We start from the raw sequence: 13,665 nt of genomic DNA, 5'->3' as shown, positions 1-13,665 counted from the left end.
AGATGGTAAGTACTATGAAAAAGCAGGTGAACCGGATAGCAGATTGTAATATTAAATAGGGTGTTAAACTAGGCTTTATTGAGAAGGTGATGTTTCAGTTACAACTTTAAGGAGGTTGGGGAGTTGTACTTGTGGATATCTTGGAGAATATACCAGGCCAGAAAAATAGCAAGTGCAAAGTGCTATGGTAGAATATTCCTAACATATCAAGGTTAGGGTGGCTGTTGCAGAGTAAATGAGGGAGGGAAATGTAGGAGAGGAAGTAAAAAAAAATATATAGGAGAAAGATCGTGTAGGACTTTTCAGGTTATTTTAAGACCATTGACTTTTACTATGAGGAAAATGGGAAGCCATTGCAGAGTATTGAGCAAATGAGTAACATGACCTGAATTATATTGTTAAAGAATCTTTCTGGTTTTTCTGTTAAAAAGCAGACTGTAAGGGAGTCTATTGAAGTAATCTGACAGGTGAGAGACAATGGTACTCCAACCTCAGTGATAACAATCGAGATTGTAATTTAGAATCTGGATCTATTTTGAGGATTTAACCAACAGGATTTTTTTTTTTTTTTGAAAAATTAGAAGAGGAATGTGAAAGGAAAACCTAAGCCAAACATGACCCAAAATTTTGGACAGAGCAACTAGAAGATTAGAGTGAGTAACCATCAATCGAGATGAGAATACTGTGTGTAAGTTTATAGGGTGTGGAGAGTCAAACACTTGGCTTTTTTACTTATTTGAGATACCTATTAGATATGCAATTGGAGATGTCCAGTAAGGAGCTTGATATCAAATTCTGCAGTTCCTAGGAGGTCCCGATCAGAAAGAAAAAAAAAAGTGGACCATTCTCAAAGATTAGATGCCATTTAAATCCATATGACTAGATGAAATCACCTGAGGAATGCAGGTAGATACAGAATAGAAGAGGTCTAAGGAACGAAGGGCAGTAAAGGACAGTTGGAAGGAACAGCCAGTGAGGAAGAAAACAAAGAAAGAGAAAATTGTCTTGGAAGCAAATATGCCTTAAAACATATTATAAGGAAGGAGAGAGAATTGGGTTCTAGATAAGGCGGGAACTGTCATAAGCATGACTATCAAAGCTAAATAAAACATACTGAATTAAATACAAAATATGAAGATTAAGTAAAATATTCTTTGAAAGATTGGAAAGTAACCAAGACAAATAAGACTTAGTAGCTACACTCTCAAAAAGAAAAAGAAGACCTCTACTATTTCCTTTGGGGCCTTTACTGAGTCATATAAGGTCTGTGTAAAAGTAATTGTGGTTTTTGCCATTGAAAGTAATGCATTAAACATAACCTAAACATGATTGAGGTGTTCTTTTCATATTCTATCTGCTTGCCAGAAGAAAATTAAATTATTTCTGGAATAGGCTACTACCATCCAGAGCAACTGTACTTTTTTATACACAATGTGTGTCCTTTAATTAAGTCACCAGACCCTGTAGGAAGCAAGACTAAATGGCCAAAAACCATGAACACAGAAAGACAAGAGAAACAGTCTCATAGGCAATCTAGATAATGGAGTAATTAGATAAGGAGCATCTACAAAAAAAAAAAGGGAATTTTTGGCCAGGTGCGGTGGCTCACGCCTGTAATCCCAGCACTTTGGGAGGCCAAGGCGGGCAGATCATGAGGTCAGGAGTTCAAGACCAGCCTGGCCAATATGGTAAAACCCCATCTCTACTAATAATACAAAAATTAGCCAGGCATGGTGGAATGTGCCTTTAATCCCAGCTACTCAGGAGACCGAGGCAGAAGAATCGCTTGAACCCATGAGGTGGAGGTTGCAGTGAGCCGAGATTGTGCCATTGCACTCCAGCCTGGGTGACACAGCAAGACCTAGTCTCAAAAAAAAAAAAAAAAAAAAAAAAAGAGGGGGGAATTGAATGGAAATACTGCAACTAATAAATACACTGAAATAAATAAGTATAATGATAAATTTAATAGTAGATTTGACATATCTGAGAACACCTGTAGTAAACTGGAATTTAGGTAATATCATTTTTTCATAATGATAACAATATCAATTCAAGAGGATGTTATACCATAACCTTGTAATAAAATATTGATTGAAGCACATAGAGATAAATGGATAAAATTTTATTACAGACCATTCTGATATATATGTATATATATGTATCATATCAGAATATATGTGTGTGTGTCCATACATATATGTATATGTGTATATATATATATGTTACATATATATATAATACAAAAAAGTTCTAACATCCATGTAATCAGTATTCTATTTGAATTCAGAGAGAGAGAATGGGGCAGATGTAATATTTGTAGAAATAGTGCCTAAGAATTTTCCAAAAAGATAAAAGCCATCAGTCAGAGATTCAAGAAACTCTACAAAACCCCAGCAGGTTAAATAAAGAAGAAAACTATATCTAGAAAATTCATTTAAAAAATTGCTGAAAATCAAAGACAAGTTGATAAATCTCAAAAGTAATTAGAGAAAAATGACAAATTAAACTTAACAGGGAAAATAAGACTTACAGCTGACCATGCAATAAAATGAAAGAAGTGAGAAGACAATGGAATGACATGTTGAAAATCTACAACTTAGAATTCTATACCCAATGAAAATATGCTTTAAACATTAAGATGATATTAAGACGTTTTCAGGCAAACAAAAACGAAGGGAATTTTTCCACATCAGGTTTTTGTATTGTGACTTTTATGGGAATTTTTCAGTCAAAAAGAAAATAATCCCAGATTGAAACACCATAATGCAGGACAGAGTGCAGAGCACTGGAAATGATAAATATGTGGATAGTGTAAGAGAACGTTGACTATTAAAATAACAATAATATTAATGTCTTGTGGGTTTTCAAATATATGTAGGATTAAAATGCATGAAAACAATAGCATAAAAGGCAGGCGTGGGGCATGGGCTGTTTGGGATCTTTGCATTGCCAAGGAAATGGCAAATGTATGAAAAAGACTGTAATGAGTTGTAGCCCCTAAAATAAAGATAATAAAAGAATATATATCCAATAAGCTAATAGGGAGAGAGGTAATGTGTTAATACAAACAGGTATTATTCTGAAAATAAGCAATAAATATGGAAACAAGGAACCAAGAAACAGAAAAGATTAATAGATAACAGTAAGATTATAGACAAATGTAAATCAATTTGCAATTTTAGTAAATATTAAATTATTTAAAGAATAGATGCTAAAAGACAAAGTTGTCAGACTGCATCAAAACAAAATACAAATATATGCTGCTTGTAAGAGAGGACCATTAAATATAAAGTGGCAGAAAAATTGAAAATAAAAAAATAGAAATACATACACTATGCAAGTGATAAGTCAAGGAAAGTTGGTGTTACTCTACTATTATTAGTGATAGAATAAAATTTAAGGAAAATAATATTTCTTGAGGTAGAAATATTTCATAATGATAAAAATATCAATTCAAGAGGATGATACATGATAACCTTATAATAGTCTATAAAACAAGATACTGAATATGTACAGGAATAAAATAGCATGTTTGTGAGTATATCATATAGGTGTCTATTCTTCATATCTTCATGCATGTGTATATTCACACTGGATGCAGATTGATCCCAAGAAGGGTAAGTGACATTGGGTTAAGCAGTTCTCTTCAGTCAAGAGCTATTTCTAGAGAAGGTTGATGACTAAGACCTGTCAGCAGGCAGTGTTTATAGTTGGTGGAAATGTCCTTCAATCCTTAAGAAAAATACTAGTGTGTCACAGGGTCCAGTACAAATAAGACATTCCAGGAATTGTAATGCAATCAATGTAATTCATTGCATCAATAAAAAAAGGGGAGAAAACCCACATGTTCATTTTGTTACTGCCAAAAATGCTTTGACAAAATTCAATACCCATTCACGATTTTTTAAAAATCTCATCAAACCAAGAATAGAATGTAGTTTCCTTAACCAAGTAGAGGGCATTGACATACAATTTATAGCAAATATCATACTTAGTAAATTATTGAAGGCTCATCCCCTAAAACTGGGAGTGAAACAAGGTGTCAACTACTCTCATTTTTATTCAAAATTAGATGGGAGGCCCTATCAAGCTCAATAAAGCAAGAGAAAGTGATATTAGGATTGGAAAGAGAAAAAAATGTAACTGCCATTATTTGCAGATCATATGAGTATTTCCTGGAGAAAATTCAAAAGAATGTAAAGATGAATTTTAGTTGATATCTAACTTAGCAAAGTTGCTGAATACATAGCCAGCTTACAATAAAAATCCTCACCAAGTTCTACATATTAGCAACAATTAGGAATCAGGATTTTAACATGGTACCATTTACAACAGAGTAAAAGCATAAAATACTTAGAAACAAATCTAACAAAAGATGTGCAAGACACAAAGAAAATTATAAAATTAAAAAGTATTATTGAAATATACTTAAAAAGACAAAGGGAAGGAATTACCATGTTAATTAATTCAAAGACTTAACATTGTAAAGATGTCAGTTTCCCTTAATCATTTTACTCTCATTCCAATCAAAATCCTAGAAGATTTTTATAGAAATTGAGATATTAATTTAAATTTTATATGGAAATACTGAGATAAAACATTATCCAAGAGTCTTCAAGAAAAGAAACCACAATTCAAAGACTTTTATAACTAGATGTCTAAGATGTATGAAGTTATAGAAGTTAAAGCAGTACATGCAGAGAGAGACAACTCAAGAGAACAAATAGGAAATCCAAACGTGGAGCCATATGCATATACAGTCCCCTGATTTATGACCAAGTTTACACTGCAGTGCAACTAGGAAAAGATAATCCTTTCAATACATGCTGCAGGGGTCAATTCAATATCCATATCTTGTACATCATACCATACAGAAAAACTAATTTCTGGTGGGTAGAAGCATTAAATGTAAAAACTGGTCAGGCACAGTGGCTCAGGCCTGTAATCCCAGCACTTTGGGAAGCTGAGATGGGCTGATAGCTTGAGCCTAGAGTTTGAGACCAGTCTGAGCCACACAATGAAACCCTGTCTTTACAAAAAATATTTAAAAATTAACTAGGGGTGGTGGCTCACACCTGTAGTCCCAGCTACTAGGGAGGCTGAGGTGGGAGAATTGCTAGAGCCTGGGAGTCAGAGGTTGTAGTGAGCACAACTGCACTCCAGCCTGGGTGACAGAGCATGACCCTGTAAAAAAAAAAGACATAAAAATTAACACAATAAAGATATGCTAACTGATCATGTAAAAGAATGTCTTTACATCTCTTGACAATATCTTTGAGACTGAGTCTCACTCTGTCACCCAGGCTGGAGTGCAGTGGCGTGATCTTAGCTCACTGCAACCTCTGCCTCCCGGGTTCAAGCGATTCTAGTGCCTCAGCCACCCTAGGAGCTAGAATTCAGGTGCCTGCCACCACGCCTGGCTAATTTTTGTATTTTTTTATAGAGACAGTGTTTTGCCGTGTTGGCCAGGCTGGTCTTAAACTCCTGGCCTCAAGTGATTTGCCTACCTCGGCCTCACAAGGTGCTGGGATTACAGATGTAAGTCACCGCGCCCGGCCAGTATCTTTATACTTAGGAGTAAACAAAGATTTCATAAACAAGATACAAGTACTAACCAAAAGTATAGGTTCTTTCAGAGCTTCTTTCTATCACAAGATACTAGAGTGAAAAGCCATGCCACAGAGTGATATATGTGCAACACATAAATCTGACAAAAGACATCTAGAATATAAAAGAACTATTATATTAAAAATCAATAAGAAAGAGAGTTACAACTTAATTTTTAAAATGGGAAAATACCTGAATAATCAATTCAAAAGACAGGATATCGAAAGGGCAAAACAGTGATTAACATTATTAGTTCTCAGGAGATGCACAGTAAAACTGCAATAAGAAACTGAAGGGTTGTAATAAACTTAGATTTGATTCAAGTTTATTGGATTTAATTCAAAATTACAATGAAATAGCCAGGACATAGTAAACAGGGAACAAAGATGCAGAAACCAGGGCACACTGAGAGTTTGAGGTGACTTACTCAGATTGAAACTGAAGATACAGCTGCAAGAATTGGGACTGACAAGATCTAGGCAATATTTTACCATTCTGAAGGCAATGCTCTCGTCCCATTGAAGGAACCAGAGTGCTAATCAGGAAACAGATGCAGAAACTCAGTCTCACATGCTTTCCAAAAGGAGTGATGTCAATGTACTATAATTATGTGGATATGGATGCCCAGGACACTTTTCAGTAACAAAACATAAGACAAATCCTAATCTAAACCAATGGAAAGAGTCAAAAACACATGGAGTATTTTACTTATGTAATCAAATAAACTTTACCAACATCATCAACAAATCCACAATGAGATACCACTACATACTGACAATAAATTCCAAATGTTGGCGAGCATGTGGAGTAACTGGAACTCTCCTGCTCTCGTGGTGGAAATATAAATTGATACAGTCCCTTTGGGAACTGTTTGGCTGTATATACCCAAGCTATGATACAGCAATTTCAGTCCTGGGTATATACCTAAGAGAGATGAAAATACACACACACACACACACACACACACACACACACACACAAACTTCCACAAGAATATTCATAACAGTTTTATGCAAAATAGCACAAACCCAAAAATGACTCAAATGTCTGTCAATATTGGAATATGTAATATTGTAGTTTATTCCTATAATGCAATATTATACTACAATGAAAAAGAATAAACTGCCTGTACATGCAATAATGTGAGTGATACAATATTAAAGAAGATACAGATTGTGTGTTTTATTATTATATTGATACTTAGTTGGAAAACAAATAAAATTACATTATGATGATGTAGATGAGTGGCTATGTTTGGGCATATTAATGACTAGGAGAAGGCATTTGGGAGGCTGCTGGGTTGTTGATAATATTCTATAGTTTGATTTGAATAATAATTACACAGGCATATTTACTATGTAATAATTGATTCATCTGTATATACACTTTATGTACTTTATACGTATTTTGGTTCAATAAAATATTCGAAAAAAGAAGAAGGATGGAAGGTTCAGCTATGTCAAAGGTGTAGATGGCTCATTTAAAAGGAGGAATGGCAACACAGAGGTCATTGATAGCCTTGACCAGAGCATTTTCAATGGAGTGATTAGGGTGAACACCTAAATGGAGTGGGTTCAGGAGAGACTGGGAGGAGAGTAAGTTGAAGCATTGAGTGTTGTCTAGGTTCTAACTCTGGTTGGGTTCCAAAGTCCCTCATGACCTTGCCCTACCCAATCTTTATATTCTTTTCTTCCATTAAAATATCTACCCTTTCTTTCCCCCAAGCCCTAAGGCCCCTCTTGGCTGTTACACTAAAACACAAGCTGTTACACTATAACACAGGCTGTTACTCTGTGTTACTCTGTGTTATCTAAATGAGACAAACCTTCATCAGGGAACTCAATACGTAGAGAAATGACTCTAGAAAAGTGCCCCATGGCATCCCCCAAAGAGCTAAGTTTAGCACAGTATAGAGCAATGGTTCTCAAATATTAATGAGCTTTAGAGTTATTGGAAAAAACTTGCTTAAAATGCATATATCTGAGCTTCATTGCCCAGAGATTTAGAATTAGTAGATCTTTCAGGGATGAGAGTGGAGGGGTGGCAGCAGGGAGTGGGCAGGAATCTGCACTTATAATATGTACTGCAGGTGACTCTAATGTTACTGATCTGCAGACATTCTGTTAAGAGACTGATCTGTTATGTGCAAGCAGACAGGGAAGGGAGAACAGAGGCAGAATTTCACTTCTGGTTGGGTAAATGTAATAAATGATTCTGTCTCTATTTTATTTCTCTTCTGTCCTGGAGCCTTCAGTTCCTCTTGTACAGATAAGTTCTCTGGGCCCTGGGATATGATCATGTTCCTTTTCTGTCATCAAGGTTCTTTGTATTGTAGGCTTATAAGAAAACCAAAGCTTTGCTGATAAACTTTCTTTTCTTTCCTTTCCCCTTTACTCTTTTATTCTCCCATTTTCTTTCCTTGTTCTCTTCCCCTTCTTTTTATCTTCCAATCCTCCACTTTCTTCCTTTTCCCTTTTTCTTTTCTCACACTCTTCCCCATTTTTCCCACTTCTTTTTCACTTTTTCTTTCCTTTTTACCTCCTTTCCTCATTTCCTCTCTCCCTCCAACTCTCAGATAGAAAAGAGGAAGTTCAACCAGAACTCTAACTCTACGTACTGTGTCTTCATGGTCAACAAGCCCTACGCCATCACCTGCTCTGTGGTGGCCTTCTACATCCCATTTCTCCTCATGGTGCTGGCCTATTACCGCATCTATGTCACAGCTAAGGAGCATGCCCATCAGATCCAGATGTTACAACGGGCAGGAGCCTCCTCCGAGAGCAGGCCTCAGTCGGCAGACCAGCATAGCACTCATCGCATGAGGACAGAGACCAAAGCAGCCAAGACCCTGTGCATCATCATGGGTTGCTTCTGCCTCTGCTGGGCACCATTCTTTGTCACCAATATTGTGGATCCTTTCATAGACTACACTGTCCCTGGGCAGGTGTGGACTGCTTTCCTCTGGCTCGGCTATATCAATTCCGGGTTGAACCCTTTTCTCTACGCCTTCTTGAATAAGTCTTTTAGACGTGCCTTCCTCATCATCCTCTGCTGTGATGATGAGCGCTACCGAAGACCTTCCATTCTGGGCCAGACTGTCCCTTGTTCAACCACAACCATTAATGGATCCACACATGTACTAAGGTGAGTATACTAAGGGAGTTCATTGATTTGGTTGATTTGTATTACTCAGAAGGGGTAATGCTCCAGTTTTCTGTTTCCAAAGGGGTTATCCCTGAAACCTGCATAGAGTTTGCAAAGATTATAAAAGATTCTACTATCTGGTCATGGAATACAGCAATGGTTAAGAACTCAGGCTCTGGAGGGAGATTGACTTGAATTCTAATCAAGTCCCCATAGTTCTGTGACCTTGGGCAGGTCGTTTAAACATTATTAACCTCAATTTCATTTTTTAAAAACTTAAGATAATAATCACTATATCTACATCACAGAGTTTTTATGAGAATCAAATTAGCTAGTATATGTGGAGTGCACGGTACAGAGCCTGACACTTAACAAGTATTTAGTAAATGTTATCTATTATTATTTAAAGGTGTTACTTTAGAGTAGTGGTTAAAAGCATGGATTTTAAAGTAAAATAGGTTTTGTCTTGATTCTCGGTGCTCCTACTAGCCATCTGCATACTCTCTCTTGGTTTTACTTTCCTCACCTTTAAAACAGATGAGAATGTTAATTCTCATCTCATGTGTGTTTTCTGATGAGTAGAGATAATATATTCATATAGGGCATGACATACAGTAAGCACTCACAATGGTACTAGAAGTTTTATTTAATATTAGGACCAATAGTAATAACGTAGTGCCTGAGAACCTAATATGGCCATAAATAACATGATAAACTAAAATAAATACCATAATAAATATACAACAGTAATACCATGTGATATAATGGATGTATGGGCAATCTAGAATTGGGGTAGAAAGGAAAGGAAGCTGATTTGGCTTAAGAAGCTCAGGGAAGGCTTTACAGAACACAGAACAGTATTTCCTAAGAATTTGAGACATGGAGGAGAAGGCAGGGAAGCCATTTCAGGCAGATAGAACAGTACAAGGAAGGAAATGAAATATAAGAGAATACCGACAGGTCCAGCGATTTTTTTTCCCCAAGGTCACATAAGTGGATGGAGGTGGAAGTGACTTTGGAGTTAAATGTTCAGTGTCTAGTTATGGTACCTCTTTCCAAACCCTGAGACTTTTCTGGTCACCCTGGGCTAGAATTGTTCTCAGCTATGCAAAGCTATGTGTGATAAATACATTCATCCTGTAGCAAAACAGGATTGCCAGTGACATTTTTTTCTTTGCCCTGAGATGCGCAGGAATTTCTAAGGAGTAGTTCCTTCTTTGAAACAAGCATTTAATTTTTCTGATGATGATTAGTATTCAGCTGTTCTGGCGGCTGAAAATTGGGGGATATTTTCATTTGCATGTGTAAGAAAAGAAGAAAAGAAAAATAAGAATTGCTATAAAATATAAATCCTGTGCCTCAGAGGCTGCTCAGAGCATGAATTCCATTTTTTGCTACAAGTGTAGGCAGATTTGTAGCTAAAGCCTAGCATGGTGTTGTGGTTTCAGCTGGTGGAAAGACCCCAAAGGATACTCCTAGAAACCGACATTCTCTCTTAATTATTATGCCTTCAGGAGTGTCATAGAAAGAATTCAACCATAAAGTGTGTGTACAAGAACTTCTGTGTGGGTGCCAAATAGTTTTTAGCTATTTAATCTAGCAGTTGCCTAAGTACAGGCTGTTGACAACTTACAAACAGCGTATGCTCTGGTAATACATTTGCTAAGTCAGTTGTTTAGCAGTTGATGGTTTTTTTCATAGAGAGTTTGGGAGTTTCCAGGGCAGCCCAAGAAAGCCTATTTTACTAAATAAGATGTATTGTTAAAATCCTGCTGCGTCTGGTAATCTGCAGGATCATTGTAAAGCAAAGAGACAATTTAGAGATGGCATATGGATGTACACTCCATATTTTCTTCCATAAATTTCTTTTTTTTTTTTGAAGAAACTTATATGGTATGAGTACAATTACCATTTTATTTTATTTATTTTTTTATTATACTTTAAGTTCTAGGGTACATGTCCACAACGTGCAGGTTTCTTACATATGTATACATGTGCCATGTTGGTGTGCTGCACCCATTAACTCGTCATTTACATTAGGTATATCTCCTAATGTTATCCCTCCCCCCTCCCCCCACCCCACGACAGGCCCCAGAGTGTGATGTTCCCCTTCCTGTGTCCAAATGTTCTTATTGTTCAATTCCCACCTATGAGAGAGAATATGCGGCGTTTGGTTTTTTCTCCTTGCGATAGTTTGCTGAGAATGATGGTTTCCAGCTTCATCCATGTCCCTACAAAGGACGTGAACTCATCCTTTTTTATGGCTGCATAGTATTCCATGGTGCATATGTGCCACATTTTCTTAATCCTGTCTATCATTGATGGACATTTGGGTTGGTTCCAAGTGTTTGCTATTGTGAATAGTGCCGCAATAAACATACGTGTGCATGTGTCTTTATAGCAGCATGATTTATAGTCCTTTGGGTATATACCCAGTAACAGGATGGCTGGGTCAAATGGTATTTCTAGTTCTAGATCCTTGAGGAATCGCCACACTGTCTTCCACAATAGTTGAACTAGTTTACAGTCCCACCAACAGTGTAAAAGTGTTCCTATTTCTCCACATCCTCTCCAGCACCTGTTGTTTCCTGACTTTTTAATGATTGCCATTCTAACTGGTGTGAGATGGTATCTCATTGTGGTTTTGATTTGCATTTCTCTGACGGCCAGTGATGATGAGCATTTTTTCATGTGCCTGTTTGCTGCATAAATGTCTTCTTTTGAGAAGTGTCTGTTCATATCCTTCACCCACTTGTTGATGGGGTTGTTTGTTTTTTTCTTGTAAATTTGTTTGAGTTCTTTGTAGATTCTGGATATTAGCCCTTTGTCAGATGGGTAGATTGCAAAAATTTTCTCCCATTCTGTAGGTTGCCTGTTCACTCTGATGGTAGTTTCTTTTGCTGTGCAGAAGCTCTTTAGTTTAATTAGATCCCATTTGTCAATTTTAGCTTCTGTTGCCGTTGTTTTTGGTGTTTTAGACATGTAGTCCTTGCCCATTCCTATGTCCCGAATGGTATTGCCCAGGTTTTCTTCTAGGGTTTTTATGGTTTTAGGTCTGACATTTAAGTCTTTAATCCATCTTGAATTAATTTTTTATAAGGTGTAAGAAAGGGATCCAGTTTCAGCTTTCTACCTATGGCTAGCCAGTTTTCCCAGCACCATTTATTATATAGGGAATCCTTTCCGCATTTCTTGTTTTTGTCAGGTTTGTCAAAGATCAGATGGTTGTAGATGTGTGGTATTATTTCTGAGGGCTCTGTTGTATTCCATTAGTCTATATCTCTGTTTTAGTCCCAGTACCATGCTGTTTTGCTGACTGTAGCCTTGTAGTATAGTTTGAAGTCAGGTAGCATGATGCCTCCAGCTTTGTTCTTTTGGCTTAGGGTTGACTTGGCAATGCGGGCTCTTTTTTGGTTCCATATGAATTTTAAAGTAGTTTTTTCCAATTCTCTGGAGAAAGTCATTGGTAGCTTGATGGGGATGGCATTGAATTTATAAATTACCTTGGGCAGTATGGCCATTTTCGCGATATTGATTCTTCCTATCCATGAGCATGGAATGTCCTTCCATTTGTTTGTGTCCTCTTTTATTTCGTTGAGCAGTGGTTTGTAGTTCTCCTTGAAGAGGTCCTTCACATCCCTTGTGAGTTGGATTCCTAGGTATTTTATTCTCTTTGAAGCAATTGTGATTGGGAGTTCACTCATGATTTGGCCCTCTGTTTGTCTGTTATTGGTGTATAAGAATGCTTGTGATTTTTGCACATTGATTTTGTATCCTGAGACTTTGCTGAAGTTGCCTATCAGCTTAAGGAGATTTTGGGCTGAGACGATGGGGTTTTCTAAATATACAGTCATGTCATCTGCAAACAGGGACAATTTGACTTCCTCTTTTCCTAATTGAATACCCTTTATTTCTTTCTCCTGCCTGATTGCCCTGGCCAGAACTTCCAACACTATGTTGAATAGGAGTGGTGAGAGAGGGCATTCCTGTCTTGTGCCAGTTTTCAAAGGGAATGCTTCCAGTTTTTGCCCATTCAGTGTGATATTGGCTGTGGGTTTGTCATAAATAGCTCTTATTATTTTGATATATGTCCCATCAATACCTAACTTATTGAGAGTTTTTACCATGAAGGGCTGTTGAATTTTGTCAAAGGCCTTTTCTGCATCTATTGAGATAATCATGTGGTTTTTGTCTTTGGTTCTGTTTATATGCTGGATTACGTTTATTGATTTGCATATGTTGAACCAGCCTTGCATCCCAGGGATGAAGCCCACTTGATTATGGTGGATAAGCTTTTTGATGTGCTGCTGGATTTGGTTTGCCAGTATTTTATTGAGGATTTTTGCATCAGTGTTCATCAGGGATATTGGAATGGTACCAGCTCCTCCTTGTACCTCTGGTAGAATTCGACTGTGAATCCATCTGATCCTGGATTTTTTTGGTTGGTAGGCTATTAATTACTGCCTCAATTTCAGAACCTGTTATTGGTCTATCCAGGGATTCAACTTCTTCCTGGTTTAGTCTTGGGAGGGTGTATGTGTCCAGGAATTTATCCATTTCTTGTAGGTTTTCTAGTTTATTTGCGTAGAGGTGTTTATAGTATTCTCTGATGGTAGTTTGTATTTCTGTGGGATCGGTAGTGATATCCCCTTAATCATTTTTTATTGCGTCTATTTGATTCTTCTCTCTTTTCTTCTTTATTAGTCTTGCTAGCGGTCTATCAATTTTGTTGATCTTTTCAAAAAACCAGCTCCTGGATTCATTGATTTTTTGAAGGGTTTTTTGTGTCTCTATTTCCTTCAGTTCTGCTCTGATCTTAGTTATTTCTTGCCTTCTGCTAGCTTTTGAATGTGTTTGCTCTTGCTGCTCTAGTTCTTTTAATTGTGATGTTAGGGTGTCAATTTTAGATCTTTC

The 13,665-nt window shown here is 36.9% G+C and overlaps 1 protein-coding gene and 1 long non-coding RNA gene across 8 annotated transcripts in view; one reads left to right on the top strand and one right to left on the bottom strand.

Moving 5' to 3' along the window:
• The window catches only part of HTR4 (5-hydroxytryptamine receptor 4), a 203,496-nt gene that overhangs the window by 136,321 nt on the left and 53,510 nt on the right, over positions 1 to 13,665 (top strand). For all 7 annotated transcript variants that reach the window (NR_104445.2, NM_001040169.2, NM_199453.3 and 4 more), the window contains one exon: positions 8,183 to 8,751. Coding sequence is in view for 6 of the 7 variants with exons in the window: in NM_001040169.2 (NP_001035259.1) it covers positions 8,183 to 8,751 (569 nt within the window). In the remaining variant the exon portion in view is untranslated. The remainder of the gene's footprint in view (positions 1 to 8,182; positions 8,752 to 13,665) is intronic.
• Positions 1 to 13,665, bottom strand: part of LOC107986462 (uncharacterized) — a 107,158-nt gene that overhangs the window by 41,781 nt on the left and 51,712 nt on the right. The gene's annotated exons all lie outside the window — the stretch shown is intronic.

Source organism: Homo sapiens, chromosome 5, assembly GCF_000001405.40.
Source record: "Homo sapiens chromosome 5, GRCh38.p14 Primary Assembly".
In the NCBI taxonomy this organism is placed as follows: domain Eukaryota; kingdom Metazoa; phylum Chordata; class Mammalia; order Primates; family Hominidae; genus Homo; species Homo sapiens.
This window is presented reverse-complemented; position numbering and strand designations above follow the sequence as displayed.